At 55.1% G+C, this 24,892-nt stretch overlaps 1 protein-coding gene and 1 long non-coding RNA gene across 18 annotated transcripts in view, besides 5 other annotated features; one reads left to right on the top strand and one right to left on the bottom strand.

The window, feature by feature from the left end:
• HDAC7 (histone deacetylase 7) overlaps positions 1-24,892 on the top strand; it is a 38,623-nt gene that overhangs the window by 4,739 nt on the left and 8,992 nt on the right. For 2 of the 17 annotated variants that reach the window (XM_011538481.2, NM_015401.5), the window contains exons 2-14: positions 14,332-14,382; positions 17,634-17,821; positions 17,954-18,044; positions 18,387-18,498; positions 19,107-19,222; positions 19,464-19,589; positions 20,308-20,399; positions 20,590-20,700; positions 20,839-21,019; positions 21,226-21,422; positions 21,673-21,846; positions 23,018-23,237; positions 24,602-24,735. In XM_011538481.2, coding sequence (XP_011536783.2) covers positions 14,332-14,382; positions 17,634-17,821; positions 17,954-18,044; positions 18,387-18,498; positions 19,107-19,222; positions 19,464-19,589; positions 20,308-20,399; positions 20,590-20,700; positions 20,839-21,019; positions 21,226-21,422; positions 21,673-21,846; positions 23,018-23,237; positions 24,602-24,735 — 1,793 coding nt within the window. Of the gene's footprint in view, positions 1-952; positions 3,677-5,652; positions 5,672-12,720; positions 12,740-14,331; positions 14,383-17,633; positions 17,822-17,953; positions 18,045-18,386; positions 18,499-19,064; positions 19,223-19,463; positions 19,590-20,307; positions 20,400-20,589; positions 20,701-20,838; positions 21,020-21,225; positions 21,423-21,672; positions 21,847-23,017; positions 23,238-23,936; positions 24,736-24,892 lie in introns of those variants that run through there. The other 15 variants (XM_047428980.1, NM_001308090.2, XM_047428979.1 and 12 more) reach the window with 13 other exon arrangements.
• Positions 2,675-2,754: an enhancer, noted in NCBI's record as "active region_6266". NCBI's record gives its function as "activates an Ori minimal core promoter by ATAC-STARR-seq in GM12878 lymphoblastoid cells {active_cell/tissue: GM12878}" and the evidence as "EXISTENCE:reporter gene assay evidence [ECO:0000049][PMID:35858748]".
• Positions 2,765-2,814: an enhancer, noted in NCBI's record as "active region_6265". NCBI's record gives its function as "activates an Ori minimal core promoter by ATAC-STARR-seq in GM12878 lymphoblastoid cells {active_cell/tissue: GM12878}" and the evidence as "EXISTENCE:reporter gene assay evidence [ECO:0000049][PMID:35858748]".
• Positions 3,395-3,584: a silencer, noted in NCBI's record as "silent region_4400". NCBI's record gives its function as "represses an Ori minimal core promoter by ATAC-STARR-seq in GM12878 lymphoblastoid cells {active_cell/tissue: GM12878}" and the evidence as "EXISTENCE:reporter gene assay evidence [ECO:0000049][PMID:35858748]".
• Positions 7,605-7,674: an enhancer, noted in NCBI's record as "active region_6264". NCBI's record gives its function as "activates an Ori minimal core promoter by ATAC-STARR-seq in GM12878 lymphoblastoid cells {active_cell/tissue: GM12878}" and the evidence as "EXISTENCE:reporter gene assay evidence [ECO:0000049][PMID:35858748]".
• Positions 10,973-15,526, bottom strand: LOC124902926 (uncharacterized). Its single transcript, XR_007063290.1, has 2 exons — positions 13,947-15,526; positions 10,973-11,331 (listed from the first exon to the last, which is right to left on the bottom strand). It is a non-coding gene; the product is annotated as an uncharacterized LOC124902926 (long non-coding RNA).
• Positions 18,881-19,080: a silencer, noted in NCBI's record as "silent region_4399". NCBI's record gives its function as "represses an Ori minimal core promoter by ATAC-STARR-seq in GM12878 lymphoblastoid cells {active_cell/tissue: GM12878}" and the evidence as "EXISTENCE:reporter gene assay evidence [ECO:0000049][PMID:35858748]".

Raw genomic sequence — 24,892 nt, 5'->3', positions numbered from 1 at the left:
CTGTTTAGTGTGGGTCTGCATGAGATGTGTGTGAGCACACACTGGGTGCGTGGTGGGTATCTGTGTGTGTACCCCTCCCCCCAGACCCTGTGTATGCTGATGTGGTGGTTCCGGGCAATTTGTGATCTATGTGGTGGTTCTGTGTTGGGTGTTTTGGGAATATGCACACATAAAAGACAGATGTGCATCATCTGTATGGTGCACACCTTTTCAGGTTATGGCCCTGTGTGGGGTAAACATGTCCATATGTATGGACATGTTTTTTGGGGGTATATATCTGGGCAGGAGTGGCTTTTTAATAGAAGTCCAGATGCTGGCTTGTAAAACACCATCTCATTTGGGATTCTCAAATGCGGGTTCCTGGACCATTTGCTTCAGAGTCACCTGGGGAATGTGTTAAAGATAAAGATCCTGGGCCGGGCGCGGTGACTTACGCCTGTAATCCCAGCACTTTGGGAGGCCGAGGCAGGTGGATCACCTGAGGTCAGGAGTTCAAGACCAGCCTGGCCAATGCGGCGAAACCCTGTCTCTACTAAAAATACAAAAAATTAGCCAGGTGTGGCGTGCGCGCCTGTAATCCCAGCTACTCGGGAGGCTGAGGCAGGAGAATTGCTTAAACCCGGGAGGCAGAGGTTGCGGTGAGCCAAGATCACGCCATTGCACTCCAGCCTGGGTGACAGCAAGACTCTGTAAAAAAAAAAAAAAAAAAAAATCCTGGCTGGACGCGGTGGCTTTGGGAGGCTGAAACAGGCAGATCACTTGAAGGCAGGAGTTCGAGACGAGCCTGGCTAACAGGGCAAAACCCCATCTCTACTAAAAATACAAATTTAGCCAGGCATGGTGGCGCAGGCCTGTAGTCCCAGCTATTTGGGAGGCTGAGGCAGAAGAATTGCTTGAGCCCAGGAGGTGGAGGTTGCAGTGAGCCGAGATTGCGCCACCTCACTCCAGCCTGGGCAATAGAGTGAGACTGTCTCAAAATTAAAAACATTCAGATCATCAGGCCCATTCCAGATTGACTAGTCAGAATCTGAGGGGTGGGGCCTGGGAATCCAGATTTTAACAGGTGCTTCAGGTGATCCTGGGGCAAGGCTGTGTTTGAGGACCACTGCCCTGGGTCAACCTCTTCATTTTTTCTTTTGAGGAAATAGACCCACAGAAGGTATGTAGTTTCTCTAAGGTGACAGGGCCATTAAGAGGAAGAACCAAGAGAAAACTCAAGGCTTCTAAGACCTGTCCAGGACTTTGTGCTCACCCATGTACCCCCTGTGTGTGTGTGTGCATGTGTGCTCATAACTACACTTTGTGATGACGTGGACCCGATTGGGCTGGTGCTAATTGGGGCTGATCTTTCCTCTGGGGTCCTGGCTTTCTTGTTTTCTGACCTTGTTCTTCTTGCTACATTCTGCTGCCTCCTTTTTGGAGAAATCCTGGAACTGTTGAGTGTCATCCCTAAAGGTCAATGTTGGCAACCAGGGAACCATGTTGCTGAGCCAGTCACTCAGCAATTCATCCATTCACTGGATCCTAGCTGAGCCTTGCAATGTTCTAGGCACTGGGTACAGATATGCAGTGAACACACAGGCACAACATCTGACCTCAGGGAACTTCCACTCTCGTGGAGAAGACAAACAGAACAAGTAGGCAAGTAAAGGAATGAGTATGTGTGACTAGTTACACACTGTGATAAGCCCTAAGAAGGAAATGAACTGGGCATGGCAATAAAGAATAACAAGGTGGGACTTCCTTTGATAGGGTGGCCAGGGGAGGACTGCCTAAGAAGGTGACATTGATGCCGTCTCCCACCTCCCCAGGTTGGAAGTGAGCCATCAGAGCCTCTGGAGCCGTGCTTGTGAACTCCCTGGATGCAGGTGGAGGCCCTGGGCTGACCAATGGCTAAGGGTTGGAGCTGAATTGCCAGCCTCTCACTTGGCATGGAAGATGGCAGTCTCCTCCCCTTAAGCAGCCCCAAAGGTTGGCAGAGGGGAGAGCAGAAGGGGGAGCTGCACAAGGCCAAGATCAAAGCCACTCCCTTGCTTGGGGAGCACCCTTTTTCTTCCATGGGGCTGAGTCCAGGGCCCTGTGGCCATACTGAATGTTGAGAAGGAGGCAGCATCTCCCCAGGAGCTCTCCTGTTTCACCTTCCTCCCACCTCCTTCCCTTCTCCGCCATCTCCCCAGTTGGGGAACTACTGTGCCAAGTCCCTTCCCTCTGGTCTAGCCTGCTGCCTCTGTGGCCACTTTACTTTACTTGGCTCAGGAATCACCAAAGAGAGGGGGTCAAGGCCTAGAGGGGACCTGGGCCCTGGAAGAGAGGACAGAACCAGAAAGGAAGGCTGGGGTTGGGACCAGAGAGGACAGGGCTCAAGGGAGGATGGAGGCTGGGACAGGAGAGGCACACGGGAAAAACCTGAGCCCAGATGGCCCTTTGGCTGGGCTCTCCAGAGTCTCTCCTGGGCCCTTGGAATCTGCTGCCCAAACTGGGGGAGACTCTGAGACCAGAGGGCCAGATGGGGCTGATTCAAGACACGGGCTCTACATCAGCTGGGAGGAAATGCCCCTGTCTGGTCCACCTGCAGCTCTACGCTTCACCCCTCTCAGGAGGTTAACTTTCACATCAGCAACTTGGGTGTCAGGTTCCGGCTCTAGGCCAGCAGGCCTCAGCCCCTCTCACCTCCAACCTCTTCTCCCAGGAAGGTTTTTCTGGGGACCCAGAGCTTCAGGCTGCAGGAAGGTGTTGCCTGGCCCTTGCCTTAGATTATTGAGTGTCAAAGGAGCCCTGACTCCAGGTCCGCTTTTCCCCCTGCACACTGCCAAGGCTGCCTTCCACCCTGGGCCTCTCTGGAGGCTGCTCAGTGCTCTTCCCGACTCCCAGGCCTTCCCGCCCAAGCTCCACAGCCCCCACAGCAGGATGGGGAGGGGACTTCTCCTCGTCAGGAAGGCCCTGGGCTAAGCTCACCATCCCCACCCTGTCTCCGCACCACTTCCTTTTTCCTCCATCTTGCCTGCAGGGATTGTAAACCCTGGTGGTCAGAAGCTTTGGGCCTATAGGGTCAGCCTCTCACCCTGGGGATCCGTAGGGGAACTCCAATCCCCTTCAGTTCAGCTTCCTCCCTGCAGGACCCATTCCAAGGAGCCTAGCTCTGGCTCCTGAGGTGACCCCAGCCCAGAAGTCCCATTCCCCTCTACCCCAACCCCCAGAATGGCAGGAGGAGCAGGGCAGTCTGGGAGTGACAGGTTCGGAAAGAGTCTGGGGTGGGGGAATTCGGCGATTGGGCTGTAACCGTCTTGTTTTGCTTGCCCCACAAACCTGCACGTCCGGGACGTCCGCTGCGCCCTCCCAGGCGCGTTCAGGTTATAGAACTGCTCTCAGAATGACAGGCTGGTGGCACCCGGCTGGGGCGGGGGGTGGGGAGGTGAAGGGGGGAGCCCCAGGCAAGGGGGAGCTGGAGGGTTAAAAATAGCAGCAGCCTTGTTTCGGTTAGCAAATGTGGAGGCGGGGAGCTGGAGGCGGGGCGGGCGGCGGACGATGTTTGCCCGCAGCGCAGGGCTGTGCTTCCCCTGGGTCCCGGGAGTGAGTCACGGCGGAGACGCTGAGGAGGTGCTGGCGCAGCACCCCACCCCCACCGGGCGAGGGGCTGAGCGCAGGCCTCGCCCCCCAGATTCCAGCGCTGAAGGAGGTGTGACTCTCCCTTCCAGGCAGCCGGGGCCGCCTTGAGAGTGAGCCAGGGGCATCGTGTGATAATAGGGAAGAAATGTGCCATTCTGACGCCAGAGATCTGGGTTTGAATCTTAGTCGAAAGGTGTGGGATCTTGAGTAAGGATGCTGATGGCTCTGAGACTCGATTTCCTAGTTTCAAGTGGGGCTTTTCTCTGTGCCCCACTTAGTGCTTAAAGCACTCTACAGATGTTAATTATCGCCTTAGACCCTACTGTATATATGGCAAAGCCTGGCAGGAGAGCTTCCTGTAAGGACGCAGAGGGAGGAATGGGATGGCCTTGGCTGAGTCTCGGTTTCTCCTGCAAGTGTGATTATGGGCACATTTTGCTCTGTGCCTCCACTTCTTCATCTGTAATGTGAAAATAATTACAGTTTCAACTTTATGGAGTTGCTATGAAGATTAAAGGAGATAATGTAAATAAAGTTAGCTCTGTGCCTGGTATGAAGTCAGGGCTCACTGAATATTCATCATCATTATTAATGTTATTGTTCATATTTTTTGAAGGTCAGGGATAGGGAATGTTGCAGACACGAAGAACAGAAACTGGGCCTAGCCCCAGTTCACAGAAAAAACCAGGCCAAATCCCTGTTCCAGATTCCTCCACCCATCGCGGCCTGGAACAGCCAGAGAGCTGTAGCCAGAAGTCATAGGGTGGACCCCTGCTTCTCTTGTTCACTCCCTCTCCCAGCCTCTCCCAGTGAGGCAGGGCGAGGAGGGACCCCAGGGCCTTGAAGCCAGCTGGCCCTGGAGAGGGGCTGCTGTGCCAGCTTGGGGAGGGTCTGGGATGGGGCTGCCCCTGATGGCCCTGATGTGGAGTACCTTGCCAGCATCTGCTGGGGTGAACTTTATTTTAGCCCTTCCCTTGTTGCTCTTATGAAGAACAGAGGAGGGGTGGGCAGGTCAGTGATGTCAGCAGTGAGTATTCCCAGCACAGCGGCTCTGGAAGAGGCATGAGGCATTTCTTTCAGGAAATGATCATTATTCAGCCAGAAGGCATTCATTAAGTAAGTCCTGACTTTGTGCCCAGCTCTGTGTTATAGGCCCTTGGCGAGACTCAGGAGGGGCAGAGGACGCTAGGTTGTAGATAACACGGAACCTCAGAGGATATATGGTCCAAGAAGACCCGGGGGCGGTGAAAACCCTGTGGACTAATGCTCACGGGAGCCCGAGGTCACACTTTGACTTTGCTACCATGGGCTGTGTCTATGTACGTATATATGCTGCGTAATTATTACAGAGGCAGTCCATGTGCATTGTGGATACTCAGACAGGACAGACCAGCAAAAACTAAAAAATAAAAAACATCACAGACGCATCAGTCAGAGATCACTGCACATCTTTCCATTTCCGTATGTGTCTTTATGTGTTGTAATTTTTATGAAAATGAGATTACTCTGCATATACTGTTTTTTCAGTCAGTGATTTCCACCTTCCATTACAGTAAATTTTCATCTTAACGGAATTCCCAGTTGGCCAGAAATTGTCCTTACAGCTGGTTTGTCCAAATCAGTACCCAGGACCATGCCATCTGTCTGTTGAGTGACCTGAAGGCAGTGTAAGCACCCTAGCTGGATTTGTGATCTGGAAAAACCCCTTCAACCAAGTCTCAAGGGCAGCCTGGCTGCAAAAGGGAATCAGGTCACGTGGAGAATCTGCCCACTAGACTTCTGCTGTCTTCCAAAGTAATAGGCAAAAGGAGGGGGATTCTAGGGCACCACTGGGATGGGACCTCTAGGGTATTTACTGTCATTAATGTTAATGTGGCATCCCTGTGAGTGTCAGGATTCACAGCTTGTGGCTATTCACATCCGAGATGCCTCAGTTCGGTTTGCCTGGTTCTTACTGAGTGCAGACCAGGGTCTCCATTGTGGCTTCTGCCTTCCTCTGCCCCAGATCCAGGGATGCTGATAGCCGTGCGGCTGTGTTCCTAGTCCCCAGAAAGTGGCCCTGAAGGTAGGTGCTCCCTTTTGCACTTGTGGGTGCTTCCAGCGCTTCCACCTGCCCAAGGCCTGCCCGTGAGTGAGAGACAGAGATAGAGATAGAGAGAGAGAGAGAGAGAGAGAGAGAGAGAGAGAGAGAGAGACCTTTTCCTCCCAAGAGAATTTACCCCCGAGTACCCACTCTGAGGGTGACTTGCTCTGGTTATGCAACCCGCATTTTGTAGAGGGCTTGACAGTTTCCAGAGAGCTCACGCAGCGTTTGATCCTCTGTGGCAGCCCTGGGAGGTTTGCTTGTTTAGTTATACCCTGCTGGAGGCAGCTAACAGGAAACACTGTAAAGTGTTTAAATGGTACACTTTAAAATGGTAAAATGTACATTTAAAAAGGAAGGGAAATAGAAGATGAAAAAGGAATTGAGGATGGCAGGGGTGGAACACAGCACACTTTGTGGGAACAGGCTGGCATTGGGAGCATACCCTAGGGCCTCACTGTGTCTTGCATCCCCTTGTCCCCTTGGTGGTCTCACCTCAGCCACTACTAGGAGGCAGGCTGAGTAAGCAGTCCACGCCAGTGTACCGATGCTAAGCTTAGGTTCTGGAGTCCCAGCAGCTCCACATACCATCTGTGTGACCTCAGCAAGTTTCTGAACCTCTCTTAGCCTTAGTTTCCTCATTTGCAAAATGAGAATAATAACAGTATATAGGCCGGGCGCAGTGGTTCACGCCTGTAATCCCAGCACTTTGGGAGGCCAGGGTGGGTGGATTCAGTGAGTTCAGGAGTTTGAGACCAGCCTGGCCAACATAGTGAAACACCGTCTCTACCAAAATACAAAAATTAGCTGGGCATGGTGGCTTGCACCTGTAATCCCAGCTACTTGGGAGGCTGAGGCAGGAGAATCACTTGAATCCGGGAGGCAGAGGTTGCAGTCAGCTGAGATTGTGCCACTGCACTCCAGTCTGGGTGACAGAGTGAAATTCTGTCTCAAAAACAAAACAAAACAAACAAACAAAAAAACAGTATCTGCCTTACAGAGTTGTGAGGACTACTTGCAATAGTACAATTAAAATGTTTAGTGGGGGCCTGGTGTGGTGGCTCAGGCCTGTAATCCCAGTACTTTGGGAGGCAGAGGTGGGCGGATCACTTGAGGCTGGGAGTTCGAGACCAGACTAATCAACAGGGTGAAACCCCGTCTCTACTAAATATACAAAAATTAGCCAGGCATGTTGGCGCACGCCTGTAATCCCAGCTACTTAGGAGGCTGAGGCAGGAGAATCACTTGAACCCGGGAGGCAGAGGTTGAAGTGAGCCAAGATCGTGCCACTGTACTCCAGCCTGGGTGACAGAGTGGGACTCCATCTCAAAATAAATAAATAAATAAAAATCGCTTAGTGGGAGGATGTTGCCCTCCCCCCGCCAAAAATGCCTAGGATAATAGCCAGCACACAGTAAGCATTAACACATGATTGTTGATCATTATTAATATTATTAATTAATTAAAATAATATAACTATTGTTGATATTGTAACTTAAACATTTCCCTGGCAGTCTTGGGAATGGGCTGCGTGGCCTTGTGGGTGGCACAGGTGAGAAGAGTGAGGAAGGCACATCTCGCTCGGCCTGCAGCTGGGAGAGGCAGAACCAGTGGGCAAAGCAGGAGTAGGGTACACAGAGGGGCAGGGTCTGCATGAGGAGGGCCCAGGAGCTGGGGTGACAAGGAGAGCAAGGGAATGAGTGTGACACCTCAGAGGGGAGAAGGAGCCGCCCCTAGAGGCAGCCTGGGGCGGTGACTGTGCTTCCTGTTGGGGCAAACACTGGCCCTTGAGAAAGACTGGCTCACACTGGCTGCTAAAGGAGCAACTGGTCTAAGTGGGGCACCAGAGGGGTAAAGGCGAAGGGGAGAGATGAAGGCAGAAACTGGCCGACTTATCCCCATGTTACAGATAGGGCCTCAAATCTTGCCTGCTCAGGATGTTTTGCTTATGATAGGAAAGATGGTAGTTAGACATCATGGTGAACTTCCTATCTCAGGGACTGGAGATACTGGAGCAGAGGAGTGAGGATGAATGTGGAACTTATGTCTTTGAGGGCTTTTTGGAACTGAGAAATCTTAGGGTAGTGTGGACTAGGGGAGCCCACTGGCTCAGGAATTCCCTAAGTGGGCAGAGCAGTGCAGGGGCAGGCCAGGCTATAAGCTGAAGGCCATGGGTAATAGGAAGTAGATGCAGGCCCTCCAGGCCTGCCACCGCAGGAAGTAGCTATGCCCTCCCCTTCACAATGGACTTGCAGGGAAGGCTGAGTGGTGGCCCGAGAGGTCCCGGGAGTTGGACAGGGCTGGGAGGACCCCTGTTTTTCTCTGTCAGAGGACAGCAAGGGTCTCCAGAGAGTGCCAGACCCAGAAACCGACAGCCATACGCAACTCAGAATGGCCCAGCTCCCCGGCCTCAGGTTCTGCCAGGTCTTCATCCTTGAGGAGAGGCCACAGGGTGGAGCTGGGGATCTGGGGTGGGGGACAAAGAACCAGGGAGGATGCTTTCCCACCCCCAGGGAGCTCAAGCCGCTGCTGCCATGGTTACATCTGCTTCCTGTTTGATTCATCTCAAACAGCAGAAGTGGAGGTGGGGTGGGGGGGCGACACTGGCTCCCAGCTCAGGCCACTGCTGCGTGGGGCTGTTTACAACAGCCGCATGTGGGATTCCCAGAAAGAGACTCCAAACCGGACATCCTGCGGCTGCAAAATACCCAGGTGTCAAGAGCTAAAAATAGCTGCCTCAGGGCCCCAGCTGCCCTGAGGTGGCGGAGAAAGAGGCATGCTCACTGTTGCCACCCTTACATCCAGCCTCCTGTTTGGTGTGCAGGAGCTTCTCTGTCCTCTTGCCTCGGACTGATGGAGGCCTTCGTCTGGGTAGGCAGACATCCCGGCTGGCTCACCTGGCAGCTGAGCCTCTGCCCTGATGGGCAGCTGGCTCCTCTGCCTATACAGAGAAATGGTGCAGCTTGCTTTGGGACGCTAATGAGAGAGTCCTAGAGGGACTTGGGAGCTTCTAGAGAAGGGATATGGCAGGGCACTGAGAGCAGGGGAGTTGGAGCTGAGGGTCCTCTAAGACCCCAACCCATTGCCAGCCCCCTGTTTCCAGCACACAGTCCCAAATCATTGCTTGGTTTCTACAAAGTCAACAGTTGCTCCAAATGATTCTTTGAGATTGTCTTCATGGGCACCCAAAGATGACATAGCTTCTGCCCTCTCACCTGCGCAGGGCTGGGGATTGCTGCTGGCACGGGTCTCTGTGGGGCTGTGTGATTTTTTTTTTCCATCTTTCTGCATGCCCATCTAGGTCCTGCATGTGTCCTTTGCTGGCTGGCCTGTGGCGAATGGGAATGCTGGGGAGGAGGGGTGGAGTGTATTGGTTGAGAGCGTGGATTCTGAAGCCCAATTGCCTGGGCTCAAGTCCCAGCTCAACCTCTGCCACTTGTCTGTGACCTCAGACAAGTTATCTAATACTGCTGGGCCTCAGCGTACTCATTTATCTAATGGGGATAAAACAGTAAATACCTCATAGGTTTGTCATGTGGACTAGATAAGTTAGCAAATGTAGGGTACTTAGAACAACTCCTGGCACATAATAAGGTGTTCGCTTACAAAAGTTCAGGTGGAAGAGAAAGGGAAGAGAGCATAGTTGGGAGAGGCTGGGGATAAGAGATAGGGCAGGGGGCTGGGCACGGTGGCTCACGCCTGTAATCCTAACACTTTGGGAAGCCGAGGCAGGCAAATCACCTGAGGACAGGGGTTCGAGACCAGCCTGGCCAACATGGCAAAACACCGTCTCTACTAAAAATACAAAAATTAGCTGGGCTTGGTGGCTTATGCCTGTAGTCCCAGCTACTTGGGAGGCTGAGGGAGGAGAATCACTTGAATCCAGGAGGCAGAGTTTGCAGTTAGCTGAGATTGTGCCACTGCACTCCAGCCTGGGTGACAGAGCGAGACTCCATCTCAAAAAAAAAAAAGAGAGAGAGAGAGAGATGGGGCAGGGGCATGCATTCAGGAGAAAATGGTCTGTGGTAGAGGAGGGAGGAGAGTTGGGAGCAGACACTGAAACGCTAATGCCAGGAAGGAGGCTGCAGACAAGTACAGGAGGCAAACTAATACTCGCTACCACAAGGGAGCACCCACCATGTGCTGGGTGCATCACAGACAGCATTGCTAATCTCAGGTGACCTCTTTGAAGTAGGTATTCTTTTTGTTTGTTTTTGTTTTTGTTTTTGAGACGGAGTCTTGCTCTGTCGCCCAGGCTGGAGTGCAGTGGTGCAATCTCAGCTCACTGCAGCCTCCGCCTCCTGGGTTCAAGCGATTCTTGTGCCTCAGCCTCCCAAGTAGCTGGACTACATGCTCCCCGCCACCATGCCTGACTAATTTTTGTATTTTTGTTAGAGATGGGATTTCACCATGTCGGCCAAGCTGGTCTCGAACTCCTGACCTCAAGTAATCTGCCCGCCTTGGCCAGGGCAGAACTTCCCCAAAGTTCTGGGATTATAGGCGTGAGCCACCTCGCCCAGCCTGAAGTAGGTATTCTTATCTCCTGATTACAGGTGGGGCAGCTTAAGCAGGTTAAATTGTGTTTCTGGCTTGCTTTGCCAGTCACCGAGGGAGTCGGGGCTTAAACCCAGGCCCATCTGACCGCAAAGCCAATGTCCTGTGTGCTTTAGACCTTCAATTCCCTCACAGTTTGTGGCCTGCCAGACTTCATGTGGCAGGGGCTTCCAGCCCACTCTCAGCTCCCTGCTGGGTTCTGGATAAATCTGAGCAAGAAGCATTCAGTGCCAATCAATGAGCAGTATAGAGAATTTCTGGAAGGGAGACACAAGAAGCTGTTAGAAAGGGCGGCTTCCAGGGAAGTTCTAGGGAGTCTGGGATGAATGAGAAACTTATCCTAACAACTTTTGGGCTCTCTGAATTTTTTTTAGTATCTGCAAGTATTGTACTTGTTCAAATATGTTTAAGGCTGCAGGCTGTATTCTAAACTCCTTGAAAGTGAGAACCAGGTTTCACTCATATTTCCATCTTTTCAACCCCTAGATCAGTGACTTCCCAGGGAAGTAGTACCTGCATTTGGGGTTGACCTTTGGGTTTCCCCTGTACTGGTCTGGCCTGGCCTGGCTGGACCACTGGCTGGCTGGGTGGCTGTGACCTAGCCCCTTCTTTCTCTTTGCTCCTCTGTCAAATGAGAGTGTTGGTCTGAACGATCTCTAAAGCCTGGAAGAGGAGCAGATCCTCTGTGCTCAGCCCCCACTCTGTGTCAGGGAGGCCTGGCAACCACAGTGTTCTTTCTCCTGTTTATTTGTTCTTGGATCTTCCTGAAGCCATTTCACCACCAGCCTTCATCTTCTCTGCCAGCCCCATGGAGACTCAAGCTTTTTCCAGCCTATGTCAGGGAAGGAGAACCAGAGACAGCAACCTCGGGTGTGAAGGGAGTCAGCTCTGAACCCAGGACTATGGCCTTCTGCCACTGCCTGCTTTCCTCTTGCTGCTGGGGCCTAGGTCTTCTTGCTGCTGCTTCCTTTTCCGCTAATCAAGAGTCCAGGGAGGTGGGAACAGCCTCAACAAAGACTTTGAAGATGAGCGGGGAGGATCGCTTGAGCCCAGGAGCCCAGCCTGGGCAACAGGGGAAGACTTCGTCTCTACAAAAAAAAAAACAACAAAACAAAACAAAAAAAATTTAGCCAGGCATCGTGGTGCATACTGTAGTCCCAGCTACTCTGGAGGCTGAGGCAGGAGAATTGCCTGAGCCCAGGAGGTCAACGCTGCAGTGAGCCATGTTCACATCACTGCACTCCAGCCTGGGCATCAGAACAAGACCGTACCTCAAAAAAAAAAAAAAATTAAGAAAAGACACTGGAGGCATCGGGAGGGGGGCGTTCTAGGTGGCAGTGCTCCTGGGGAAGCCTTTTGTCCCACTGAAGACATGAAGCTCCTGGGAGAGCAGGTGGTCGGCAAGGCTCAGGTTTTCATCCACCTTTTGCAGATCTAGGAGGCAAAGTCATACCTGCTGGGGAGGGAGGACCAAGACTGGGGCCTGAGGCAATAAGGTAGGAGCAGTAGGGAGGTCAGTTTGTTCCAGGTGCTTAGAATTGTGTTTGTGTTTACTCTGGAGGTTGCTGAGGGCTGGGGTGCACCTATTGGAACAGGGGCTCCATAGGTTTCTGGGTAAAATCAGGTGTTCTGGTTTAAGAAGGTGACTTGGTAGGCCCACATGCCCCAGTGCCAAGTAAACTGTTCTTAAGTCTGACTGCAGTTGCCTCCAAAGAAGATAGAAAAGGGGAGTAGCCAGGATTCCAAAAAGAAGAGCTCTCCAACCTGGCAAAGAGCCCTGTGCTAGACAGTATTCCTGGTACCTTGGGTCCATTTACTTCTCTTTTTTTTTTTTTTTTCAGGCTGACCCCAAATTAGTAGTAACAGCCCTCGGAGAGAGGCAGTGATGGGAAAAGAGGTCCCACACTCAAGCCAGAACTGGGAGGCAGGATGTTCATGCTCTGGCTTCAGTTCAGCTACTGACGGGGTGCCAGTAGATACCTTTCCTCTCTCTAGGACACAAAGAGAGCTGTTCCTGGGTCTTAATCTCTGTCGCTCTGCGCTCTTCTGAACTTGATGGCCCTCAGCACGGGGCCAGGGAGCGGGGGAAAAGCAGAACTTTTTCCAGGAATTGCTATTGGAAGCAGCCCCGTTGCCAACACGCATGCACACATGCACACAGCTTTTCTGGACAGACCTTATATTATGGATTATCACCACAAAACATCCCTTTGGGGCCTGGTAGCCCACACCACAGAATTCAGGGTCATTAATTTTTCTCCTATCCAGAGAGTGCATGGTGTCCGGAATCTGTGGTTACCAGGGGAGCAAGGCACAGAGAACCTGGCTCTGCTCCCAAGCATGAATGCTGCTGACCAGCCCCTGGGTAGGGACTGGGGAGGTGGGACAGAATTCCCAGGAGGCAGGGGACTCAGCCTGACACAGTCTCTGGGAGTGCACCCTGGAGCCCAGTCCAGAAACCTCTGGGAGGACCAGGTCCTGCAGAAGAAAGAAGAGGTACTAAGAAGGCCTGGGATTGGGGGTTACCATGTCGTGGGGAGGGGAGTTTGCCTCTGAGGCCCACCACCTTGAGAAATATGCATGCTGTGTCTCAGGCAGGTTGTCAGGAGAGAGTCATTGTATTTGATTTGTCAGCTACTAACAGAGCCTGCCACGTGCCCTGCGAGGTGTTTGGTGCAGATGGGCATGGCTTCCACAGGGCACCACAGAGATCATGATGAATGAAGTGTCAAGGTGGTAGACACAGAGCGAGTGCTGTGGAAAAGGAAGAGGGGAGAGGTCAGGGAGAGCCTCCCAAGGAGATGGACTTGGGCTGGACCTCAGAGGATGGGCAGAATTTAAATAGGTAGAGCAGCATTTTCGGACCGAACTTTGTTACCCAAAGCATGGGCTGGTTTGAGGGGCAGTCGGTGGGAGTCTCCCTGTGCCCAGGCTGCCCCCTCCCCCAGCAGCGCCTGCCTGCAGGAAGTTCTCATTTCTCGGCTCTGAAGAGGAACTGTGGCTGCCTCTGAGACACAGACCCAAAGGAGCACCCCGGCAGTTTCTCAAAAAATATCCCTTCTGCCCCAAGTCTGGCCAGCAGAGCGCTTCTGTGTCCACCCAGTACCCCGTCCAGGCAGCCTCTGGGTCTCCTGGCCTCCTGTCCCCTTGACCCTGAACTGGACAGCAAGAGGGAAAGGTGTCTGTCCTGGACAGGTGGCCTCAGGACTCATCTCTGTCTTCTCCAACCCCAGCTGGCCTCCATGTCCCCTGGGGGCTTTCTGCTGCTGACCAGCTTGGGCCCTACTATAGGTTTTCTTGCTGGGCTTAGGAGCCTGAGAGAGGTAGCCATTTCCAAAAGAAAAGATTTCTATCTCAGATTATCTGGGAAAGAGGCTGAGTAGGTCCCTTCTCTGAGGAAACAGGCAGCAGGACATAGGATGGGGCAGTGGGAGGAAAAGGGTCTGCACTATGGGGTCCTTGGGCTGTGCACTCCTGACCTTATCACTTCACAGTTCCCACCAGATCTGACTTGACCTCCGGGCCATGACCCAGTCCCTCCCCCACTCTGGAAACCTCTGTGTCCCCTCCTGCTCCTTTCACTCCCACCTGGGAGGCTCTGAGCAGGCCAGGGTCCCTCTCTCCAGGCCTGCTCCTCCCTTTCTCCTCCTGTCCCCCCAGCCATCCCCCCAGCCAGGCTCTCCCACCTCTGGCCCCACCTCACCTCTTGGCCTTCTTCTTTCCCTCGGGCGATGGGAGCCTGGTTTGGCTGCCCAGGGAAGATTGTATCTGACCACAGGAGGGAGGGCTGAGGGCACTGCTGGGTGAGCTGAGGCCTCCTTAGGTTCTTGCTGTAGTCTGAGTTCAAGTCATTTAGAATGAGTGACTTGAGGAAGAGGGAGCTGGGAGCCCTTTTCACCAGCAGGGGGACTGGAGGAGTCGAATGGGGTGGGGTCTTCTCGTTTTGATTAGCTTCTGGTGGAGGTCCCAGGCTTTGGCGTGCTCAAGCTTGGAGTGGCAGGGAGCAGGCCTGGCTTGACCTTCTTTCCTTCCTGCTCCCTCTCCTCACCCCTCCCTGCAGCTCTTTCACTCCGTCTCTCTCTCTACAGATGGGACCCAGGTGAGCCCGGGTGCCCACTACTGCAGCCCCACTGGCGCAGGTAAGAGTCAAACCCGGGGGAGTCCATGGTAGGGAGTGGAAGATGAGGGGTGGAAAGGCTGTAAGAACGCGAGAAGCTGAGGGGTTAGAGAAGCAGGGTCGCTGGCTGATCTGCCAGAGAGCCAGGAGGTGGCGGCTCCAGGGAGGGGCGAGGAGCCGGGGTAAGAGAGGCAGCTCTGGATGCTGGCTGGGCACAGTGCTAGGAAACACAACAGGAAAAGGAAACACAGGATGCCCGTCTTGTCCTTGCTGGGAGCAGTGAAACAGGAAGGAAAGTAAGAAGCTAATATTTATACTGAGACCCCTACCCCATGTCAGGCACCAGGCAAGGTGTGTTCTTGTGTGTGGACTCGGTCCTCACACCGGCTCTGCAAGGTGGGCATGGCAGCCCTTGCAGGACTGCTCTGCTGGAGGGGAAGTGTTCTCTCACTGTCTGCGCCTCCTCCCTCTGCTGGCCCGAGCCTCCTCTGCTGCTAGGCTGCCCTGGGGAAGGACTGGACTTCCTGCTGCTGCTTTGGTTTAGGACATGCCCATGGGGCCAGGTCTGGACTAGACGCGGTCTGCCCTTCCTTTAGTGTAGCCAGTATCAACCAAGGGCCTACTGAGTGCAAGATATACAGCCTGATGCCTAATAATTCCATATAGCAGGGAGAAATGGAACCCAGGTATCCTCCTTGCTTCAGTCCTGGCTGTTGAAAAGCTAACAGGCAGGTTAGGGAGGAAGCACACACAAATACAAAGCGAAAAAAAATAGAATGCAATAATGTGACCAGTGCCCAATGAGAGGACACTGATTCATGAGTTTATCCATTTGTTCAAGAATCATTAATGAGTTCTGTCTCTGTGCCAGGGTACTTTCCTGGACATTTTAGGAGAGACACTGATTTATTCATTGATTCTATGTTTGTGGAGTGCCTGTCATGTGCTAGGTACTATTCCAGGTGCTAGGAATAATAAACAAAGCATGAAACCAACTCCCTGCCCTATGGAGCTTAACTCAGACATGGTACCTGCCCACAGAGCACTAATCCTGGTGTGGAACAGCCATGTGATTGGAGTCCAAAAGAGGGAGGGATGCTAGGCGCTGGCTGGGTCCAGGGATGAGGGAGGACTCCAGCTGAGCTTTGAGCAAAGAGTAGGATTTGGAAAAGTAGAATGTAGGGATGAGGACAGCACAGGCAGGGGGACATTGTGAGCAAAAGGTCAGAGAACAGAAGAGATGTGGATTTGTGACAGGTGGAAGCTGATGGCCAAGGTGGAGGGTTCATGTTCAAATGCAGACCAAGTTGAGAGAAGCCAAGTTAGGACCAGATTGTGGAGCCTCACAAATGCTAAAGCACCTCGAAAAGTATTTCCAGGGCTCCAGGCAGAGCCCATCCTGTATTCCCTTCTGCTGTGGAGGCAGTGGCCATGCAGAGTGTGAGGGGAAGGGCCCCTGCTGGGGGTCTGCTCACAGTCCGTATGTGGCTGAAGCCACTGGTCTTGGGTCCAGGTCGCTGGCCTTGGTTCCCCCAAGCCCCTCTTGCATAATCAGGGGAGTCACCCCGGGAAGCCAGGACACAGAACATGGAAGGACTGAAACCTTTCCTGGGGCAGGAGTGTTTTGGTATTCGAAACCCAGACTCAACCCGAATGAGAATCCGGATTTCTTGGGAGGCAATGTGAACAAGGGGTGGGGCATCAAAGCCATACATTTTCTACTGCGGGCGGCATCTGGGTGCACAGCCATCACTGTCCCTCCAGGCCTCTTGATATTCGGGGGACATGGCGGGCACCTCCTTGCTGGGCTCCTGTCTTGTGTCCATGTCACAGTCAGGGAATGTTAGAGTGAATGCCCTTTAATGACAGCCTACTGCAAACCCCTCTTTGCTTAGTGAGAAAGCCCCTTGAGGGGAGGTGAATTCCTGAAAGTTGGTGGGAAACTGGAGTACCTGCCTTGGTAGGACCAGAACCCATGCTAGCTCTGCCCCTAGCAGGGTGACTTTGGACAGGGCCCTTCACCTCCGAGCCTCGGTTTCCTTATTTAGGATAACAAGATAGTAATGACTACCCCCCGGGGCCAGTGGCTTGATGTAGCTGCTCATGCACAAGTGCTGTAGATGTAAAGATTGTGGTTAGGAGTGGCCAGCTTGGGCCTGGAGGCTATGATTTCTGACTCCTGGACTGGTACTTTGCCACAGGCCTTTCCAGCCCTCCTCAGCCCCAATCCCTGAGGACAGTCTGTGGCTGCCCCACTGGGAGATGCCCAGCGTTGGAATTGCTGAAGGAGGCCTCTCCAGGAAGGCTTCTCCACTTGTGTGCCCTCCCATGGGGCCGGCCTGCTCCTACCCCACCCACTTCCCCTTCTCCAGGATAAGCCCGCTGCAACAGCTCCGTCTCCCAGTGTCTCAGCCTCTCTGGCTGCTCAGCCCAGCCTGGTCCAGCTGGCTATGCTGGCATGGACCCTAGTCTGGTGGCCAGTTATAAATAGCCCCTGCACCCACAGCCTTGGCAGGGTGCTCCTAGTGTGGGTGCAGAGGACACTTGAGAAGAGGCAGCCGTGCCTGCCATCCTGACCATGCCAGGCCCAGAGCTGCCATGGAGGCACCCAGGAGCAGGCCCAAGGACACATGGGCCCTATGAGCTGAGGAACCTGCCCTGGGCACAGGGTTCTGCAGGCCCAACGTGGCCGGTCAGGGCTGGCTGTAGGCTTGAGGCATCACTTTATCTCATGACTGGGGATAGAGCATGGGAGGGTGGCGACCCAGAGGGCCTGTGAGGCTTGGGGCTGGAGGCAGAACAAAGTGGGCCTGTTTGCCTGCCTGATTGCTTCCTTTGAGCCCAACTCATTAGAGGGCAGCTGGGCAAATCCTCTGATTCCAGGGAGGGATGAAGGGAGGGAGAAGGCAGGGCCAAGAATGTCCTACCATAGGATCTGCAGCCCATCGGAGATCACTGTAGCCCTCAGCCCCCGGCCCAGGGAGGAGCATGTTTAGTGGAGGAGCACTGTGGTGGAGTCGGAAGACTCCGTTCAAACACCACCAGTGATACAGTGTTACTGTGCACAGTTCATGTGACTTTTTTCTCACGAGTAAAATGGAATTGATAATACCTACCTTGCAGGACCACGACAGGATTAAGTGAGGAAAAACCCCCATGAGAGTGTTTTGCCATTGTCAAGTGAGCCTGAGGGAGGCTGAGGGGGGATCAGGCTGTATCATGCCCCCGAGGACAAACTTTCCAGTTTACCCTGCTCCCTCTCTCTGTCCCTAGGCTGCCCCAGGCCCTGTGCAGACACACCAGGCCCTCAGCCGCAGCCCATGGACCTGCGGGTGGGCCAGCGGCCCCCAGTGGAGCCCCCACCAGAGCCCACATTGCTGGCCCTGCAGCGTCCCCAGCGCCTGCACCACCACCTCTTCCTAGCAGGCCTGCAGCAGCAGCGCTCGGTGGAGCCCATGAGGGTAAAGATGGAGCTCCCTGCATGTGGGGCCACCTTGAGCTTGGTCCCCAGCCTCCCCGCCTTCAGCATCCCTAGACACCAGTCTCAGTCCTCAACTCCTTGTCCCTTTCTGGGCTGCCGGCCCTGCCCACAGCTCTCCATGGACACGCCGATGCCCGAGTTGCAGGTGGGACCCCAGGAACAAGAGCTGCGGCAGCTTCTCCACAAGGACAAGAGCAAGCGAAGTAAGGAGGTGGCCACCCCAGCCCAGCCCAGCCCCACCAGCCAGGTGCCTGCGGCTGCCTGTGTGGCTTGTGAGGGGTGAGGTGGGAGGGCCGCAGCCAGCTGGGCCTGAGCCGAGGCTTTCCCTCTGCTTGCCTGGGCTCTGCCTGTGAATGTGTGGGGGATGTGGGGGTGGGGGGTGGTGTCTGGAGGCTCTAGGGAGGGGTAGGGCCTCGGGCTTGGCTCTTGCCTAGGGAGTCCCTGGGACGCCTCCTACTGAGGATGGGGACAGGGCAGTGGCCAGGTAGTGCCACGAGGCCGCCTGTCCACCCACCTCCAGCCCCCTCCTGACTCTGCCCCTACAGGTGCTGTAGCCAGCAGCGTGGTCAAGCAGAAGCTAGCGGAGGTGATTCTGAAAAAACAGCAGGCGGCCCTAGAAAGAACAGTCCATCCCAACAGCCCCGGCATTCCCTACAGGTAACACCCTCCTCACCTGCCCTCCTGTCCCCACATGCACCCTCCACCCCCGCCCCCGTGTTAGCCATGAGCACACACACTTGCCTCCTTCCTCCCCAGTTGCCACAACCAGTCCTTACCCTTCCTCTAAACATAATGCCCCCGAGCCCCTCTCTCAACTGATACCTGCCCTCCTCTCTTTAAATTCTCCCCACCCCACCTGAGCCCTTCTCACACACACACACACACACACACACACACACACACACACACCCTACTGGCTTTTTTCTTGCACATGAGCCCCTTCTCTCTTTATATTTTCCCTGAGCGCAAAAATGTCCTGGTTCCCAGAGCAGGTTCCTAGTGCAGGTGACAGAGCCCCCAGTGGGCTCTTCACCCACGCACCAAGCACCTGGCTTCTATGCCTAGGTCAGAGCTCTGCACTATAGCTGCTGGAGCGGACAGGCGGCCCACTGCTGCCACCTGGAGATGGTCCCCATTCCTACCAGCCCCACATTGCCCAGCCCTGCCCGCTGCAGCCTCCCCCTCAGGTCCCAGGGCCCGTGCTCAGGGCAGTGCCCGTGCAGTGTCCCCACACCTCTGAAGCAGCCTTGGCACTCGTTCTGTAGAACCCTGGAGCCCCTGGAGACGGAAGGAGCCACCCGCTCCATGCTCAGCAGCTTTTTGCCTCCTGTTCCCAGCCTGCCCAGTGACCCCCCAGAGCACTTCCCTCTGCGCAAGACAGGTGAGCTGAACAAACAGGCGGACCTTTCAGGCAAAGGAAGGGGGAAGGGCCTCGGACATGGGGGAGGAGTGTGCAGGGGTGGGCGGGCTGGGCTGGGCCAGGAGATCATCGGTAGGCTAGGATCTTCTTTCTAGTTCTGCCTTCTCTTTCCTTGACCGATAGAGATGACTGGGACTGAGGGGTTAAAGGGTGGAAAAAAGAAGGGTGGTGGGGGCCTGAGTGACGCTGGTGCTCCCTGCAGTCTCTGAGCCCAACCTGAAGCTGCGCTATAAGCCCAAGAAGTCCCTGGAGCGGAGGAAGAATCCACTGCTCCGAAAGGAGAGTGCGCCCCCCAGCCTCCGGCGGCGGCCCGCAGAGACCCTCGGAGGTGAGGGCCGGCTGAGCCAGTGCGGTTGCCATCCTCAAACCTGGCTGGTCTTGTCCCTTTGGGTCAGGCCCCACCTAGACAGGGGTCCCCTCCTTAGGACTGCCATGCGTGGTTGCATGGGGGTGTCCCACACACTTGCCGAAGCGGGGGAGTTGGGGCTGAAACCCAGTCCCTGCTCTGTTAGCTAAGGTGACATCTCCCAGAAAAGGGGGCACCCTTCAAAAAATTATGCAAAGGTGCTGTAGGCCAAAGGTGGCCTGTCTTCTTCCTGCTCTGATGGGAAGAAAGCAGGAGGCCGGGCGCGGTGGTTCACGCCTATAATCTCAGCACTTTGGGAGGCTGAGGCAGGTCAATCACCTGAGGTTAGGAGTTTGAGACCAGCCTGGACAATATGGTGAAACCCTGTCTCTACTAAAAATACAAAAATTAGCCAGGCACGGTGGTGCATGCCTGTAGTCCCAGCTACTTGGGAGGCTGAGCCAGGAGAATCGCTTGAACCCAGGAGGTGGAGGTTGCAGTGAGCCGGGATCGTGCCATTGCACTCCAGCCTGGGCAACAGAGCAAGACTCTGTCTCAAAAAAAAAAAAAAAGAAAGCAGGAAGCAAAGGTGCTCGTTAAGGAAGGGGGTGCTCCCGGGTCTCCTGCACCAGGCGGCCTGGCTGTACCCTCCTGCCCACCCTGGCCTCTGACTGCACTTCCCTCTCTCCCCAACCCTCAGACTCCTCCCCAAGTAGTAGCAGCACGCCCGCATCAGGGTGCAGCTCCCCCAATGACAGCGAGCACGGCCCCAATCCCATCCTGGGCTCGGAGGTAAGGCCTTGCCGAGACTGGGCTCTCCTGGGGCAGTTCTGAGGCTCAGCCTTCTTCCAGCAGGCGGCCCTACCTGGGCTGGGGCTGCAGGGTCTGGGCAGCCCCTGCCAGAGCCTCCTGGGTGTTCTGGGGAAGGTGCGCCGGGGTAGAGGTCTGGGACCGGTGACCCTCGCCCTGCTCCCTATGGCAGGCGCTCTTGGGCCAGCGGCTGCGGCTGCAGGAGACTTCTGTGGCCCCGTTCGCCTTGCCGACAGTGTCCTTGCTGCCCGCAATCACTCTGGGGCTGCCCGCCCCTGCCAGGGTGAGTGGCTGGGGTGCCCACCCCCACTCCAAGCCCCCCCAGCTTCTTTCACTCCCTTTTCTTGCTGCCTCACCCCATCATCTTCATTGTTCTCTGCTGGAATCTTCTTCCCCGTGACTTCTCCCGCCTCTCCCCCAGGCTGACAGTGACCGCAGGACCCATCCGACTCTGGGCCCTCGGGGGCCAATCCTGGGGAGCCCCCACACTCCCCTCTTCCTGCCCCATGGCTTGGAGCCCGAGGCTGGGGGCACCTTGCCCTCTCGCCTGCAGCCCATTCTCCTCCTGGACCCCTCAGGCTCTCATGCCCCGCTGCTGACTGGTGAGTCTGCTGCTTCTTCAGGGAAGGGGCTGGGTCCCTGCACCCTGCTAAGAGCCAAGCTTGGGATGGACCCATCCTTCCTCCCCATCTCTGTCCCCCTGTCCTGCGCATTGCCCTGCTGCACCCTGGCCCCCCACCCTATACCCTCGCTTCCTTCCATTGCTCCCTGTGGTTCCCTCCTTATTCCACCCCCCGATTCTTTCCAGTGCCCGGGCTTGGGCCCTTGCCCTTCCACTTTGCCCAGTCCTTAATGACCACCGAGCGGCTCTCTGGGTCAGGCCTCCACTGGCCACTGAGCCGGACTCGCTCAGAGCCCCTGCCCCCCAGTGCCACCGCTCCCCCACCGCCGGGCCCCATGCAGCCCCGCCTGGAGCAGCTCAAAACTCACGTCCAGGTGATCAAGGTGAGAGGAATTGGGCAGTGGAGGTATTGAGGGAGTGTTTAACTGGGGACTTAGGGGCCAAAAGAAGAGGGGTACTTAGAAAGGGCAGGGAACTGGAGGGCAAAAGAGGGGGATGTGGCTTCTTGGGGCCCAGAGCTGCATGGCAGCTGGAGTCCTAGCAAGATGACTGGCTGCCTGGCCCAGCCCACCACCTCCCACCCCATGCCCCTCGCTCCACCATGGCTTCTCAGCCAGGTTCTCCCCTCCCCAGAGGTCAGCCAAGCCGAGTGAGAAGCCCCGGCTGCGGCAGATACCCTCGGCTGAAGACCTGGAGACAGATGGCGGGGGACCGGGCCAGGTGGTGGACGATGGCCTGGAGCACAGGGAGCTGGGCCATGGGCAGCCTGAGGCCAGAGGCCCCGCTCCTCTCCAGCAGCACCCTCAGGTATGGCAGTCCCCACCTGCCCCTCAGAAAGTGTCCTCAGAAGACTCTGGGGCCTGGCATAAGATGGGGAAGGGAGGGAGATACGACATCAGTGCAACAGGCAGCTCTAGGACCCATGGTTGCCCTATAAGATCCTGGGTGCTGGATCCACACTAAGGTGTAGGCACACACACACATGCACACTCACACACCCATACACACACATACACACAACAGCTTGCCAGTCTCAGGTGAAGCATGTCCCTTTTCCAGGAAGGAGTCTGTCCTTTCCTGGAGCCACACATAGTCCTGCCCTGGTATGTCTCCCCTCTATCCAGAAAGGTGGCTAGGGCCAGAGGTGGGATGGAGCCAGGCTCCAGCGTGTCCAGCAGAATGCTCTCACTGTGGGAATCAAGACCCAGTGCATTAGCTTGCCGGAGCTGTTGGGATACAGGCTGGGCGCCTTAAACAGCAGGCATTTACCATCTCACAGTTCTGGAGGCTGGAAGTCAAAATCGAGGTGTTGGTGGAGTTGGTTCCTTCTGGGGGCTGTGAGTGTGAGGGCAGGGGCTGTTCCCGGTCTCTCTCCTTGGCTTGTGGATGGTCATCTTCTTCCTGTGGCTTCATGTGGTTTCCCTCTGTGAATGCCTGTTCAGATTTCCTCTTCCTATAAGGACAATAGTCATACTGGGTTAAGGCCCACCCTAACGACCTCATTTTAATTTGATTACTTCTGTTTGTAAAGACCCTATCTCTGAATAAGGTCATGTTTAGAGGTACTGGGGGTTGGGACTTCAACATATAAATTTGAGGGTGGGGAACATAATTTACTCCATAACACATGATGACAGGCCACACACATGTTCTTGAACAGTTACATAGTCCAGGACAGGAGGACATCCTGGTCAGCACAAGATCCAGCGCCCCTCCCCTGGTTCCTGGCTTTGGAGCCCCAAGGGCCCGGGGAGCTGGTGGAATGGGTGGTCAGTCTGGGGTGCAAACCTGTCAGGGGGCTGCAGGGGACAGGGGGCTTAGAGAGTCAAAGGCCAGAGCCCCACTGGACAGCAGGTCTAGGTTTATCCTGGAATCTCTCTAGGAAAGGGGCCTGCTTGGCAGTTCCCAAGACCTCAGGCAGAAGTAGAGGGAGCAGGACCCTGAAACACTGGAGACCAAGGCCCCATCTTTCCCCTAGGTGTTGCTCTGGGAACAGCAGCGACTGGCTGGGCGGCTCCCCCGGGGCAGCACCGGGGACACTGTGCTGCTTCCTCTGGCCCAGGGTGGGCACCGGCCTCTGTCCCGGGCTCAGTCTTCCCCAGCCGCACCTGCCTCACTGTCAGCCCCAGAGCCTGCCAGCCAGGCCCGAGTCCTCTCCAGCTCAGAGACCCCTGCCAGGACCCTGCCCTTCACCACAGGTGAGACCGGGAGGAGGGTGGCGGGTGGAGGGAGGGGCTCGGCTGCACGAGTCCATGTGGGTGTCTTGGTGTCACTTGGGACATTTTTAGAGGCCACAGAGTGCTTAGCCTTGTTAGGCCCACGTAGTACCCATGGAGCACATGGAACAGCTGGTTATTGCATTTGGCCGATGAGGACCAAGGCTCACGAAATCTAAGGTGACAAGCCTGTGGTCAAATAGCAAGTGGTAGTCAAGCCAGGATAAGAATTCCAGTCTCCTGCCAATGCACTCAGCCCTTTTAAAAAATGATATTTATTACTGTTGCTCTGCTTGTAAAAAGAGCTCAGAAGTATTTTAGACATTTTGAAGAGTACAGAAAAACCTAAGAAGAAAAGAAAAATCACCAACCAGTATCCCACCACCCAGAAGTAAACCCTCTGAAATTCTGCTGTATTTCAGTCCAGGCTTTGTTCTGGCCATATGTACATGTACAGATGCCATGAACACATGAACTACGTTTTGTATCCTGCTTTACTTAGTTAACATATTATGAATCCTTCTTGGCATAATTAGTCTTTAAAACTGAGAGTCTCATAGTATTTCATTAATGTATTTCATTTTTACTGAGGGATCCCTTATCAGTTAGACATTTAGATTATAGCTTATTTGAATTTCCTTATGCATAAATCTTTCCTCATGCTTGGGATTATTTCCCAAGGTTCACTCTAAAGAAGTAGCATTCCTGGGTCACATGGTGTGAGCATTTTGAGAGTCGTTGGTGTCCTAGACGCACAGAAATTGACCCTCCCACCCGCAATGAGCAGGACCCTCCTCTGAAGACTTCCCACGGGTCAGACTGAAATAGTCACTTCTCCAAAGCTGGATTTGTCTATCACATGGTCCAGTGTCATCGTGGGCTTCTTAGCTCCCGGTTTGGGGGTTTCCTAGGAATTCTTTTCCCTCCTGCTGCCCCTTGGTAGCCTCTCTGGGTTCATGACACGTGTGTGAGATGCTGTACGTTAGGCCTCATGCTTTGCTCTGAGCACTTGAGGGCCTGGTGCTGGGCCCTCGAGTCCTGGGCCACCCAGCAGTCGTGTCCGCATGTGGGAAGGCCGTGGCTCTGTGGCAGCCATGTTGGCTGGAGCTGTGTTGATGTGTTGGCTGCTGCCACCTGGGGAAGTGTCTGGGCGTGTGTGGACAGGTGTGAGGGGCTGGGGCTGGGGTAGGGGCAGGATGAAATGCAGGCCTGTGTGGGTGTGAGGGGTGTGTACCCGCCCGGCTCCATGTGGGTGCCTGCTGTGGCGGTGCTGGCGTGTTCTCTGCAGCCAAGGCCATGGGGCGTGAGGACTCCCTGGGTCCCCGCTCTGACCCTTGCTCCTGCAGGGCTGATCTATGACTCGGTCATGCTGAAGCACCAGTGCTCCTGCGGTGACAACAGCAGGCACCCGGAGCACGCCGGCCGCATCCAGAGCATCTGGTCCCGGCTGCAGGAGCGGGGGCTCCGGAGCCAGTGTGAGGTGAGGAGGCGCGGGTGGGGCCCGAGGAATGGGTGGAGGGAGGAGTCATGGGAGGGGAGGGGTGGGGGGCCCTGGGGCCCATGAGAGATGAGGGGCACATGGGGTGGTGGTGATGGGAGGGAAGGGGCGAGCATGAGCTCAGAGCTCTGTGGTCCCC

Source organism: Homo sapiens, chromosome 12, assembly GCF_000001405.40.
Source record: "Homo sapiens chromosome 12, GRCh38.p14 Primary Assembly".
Lineage (NCBI taxonomy): Eukaryota > Metazoa > Chordata > Mammalia > Primates > Hominidae > Homo > Homo sapiens.
This window is presented reverse-complemented; position numbering and strand designations above follow the sequence as displayed.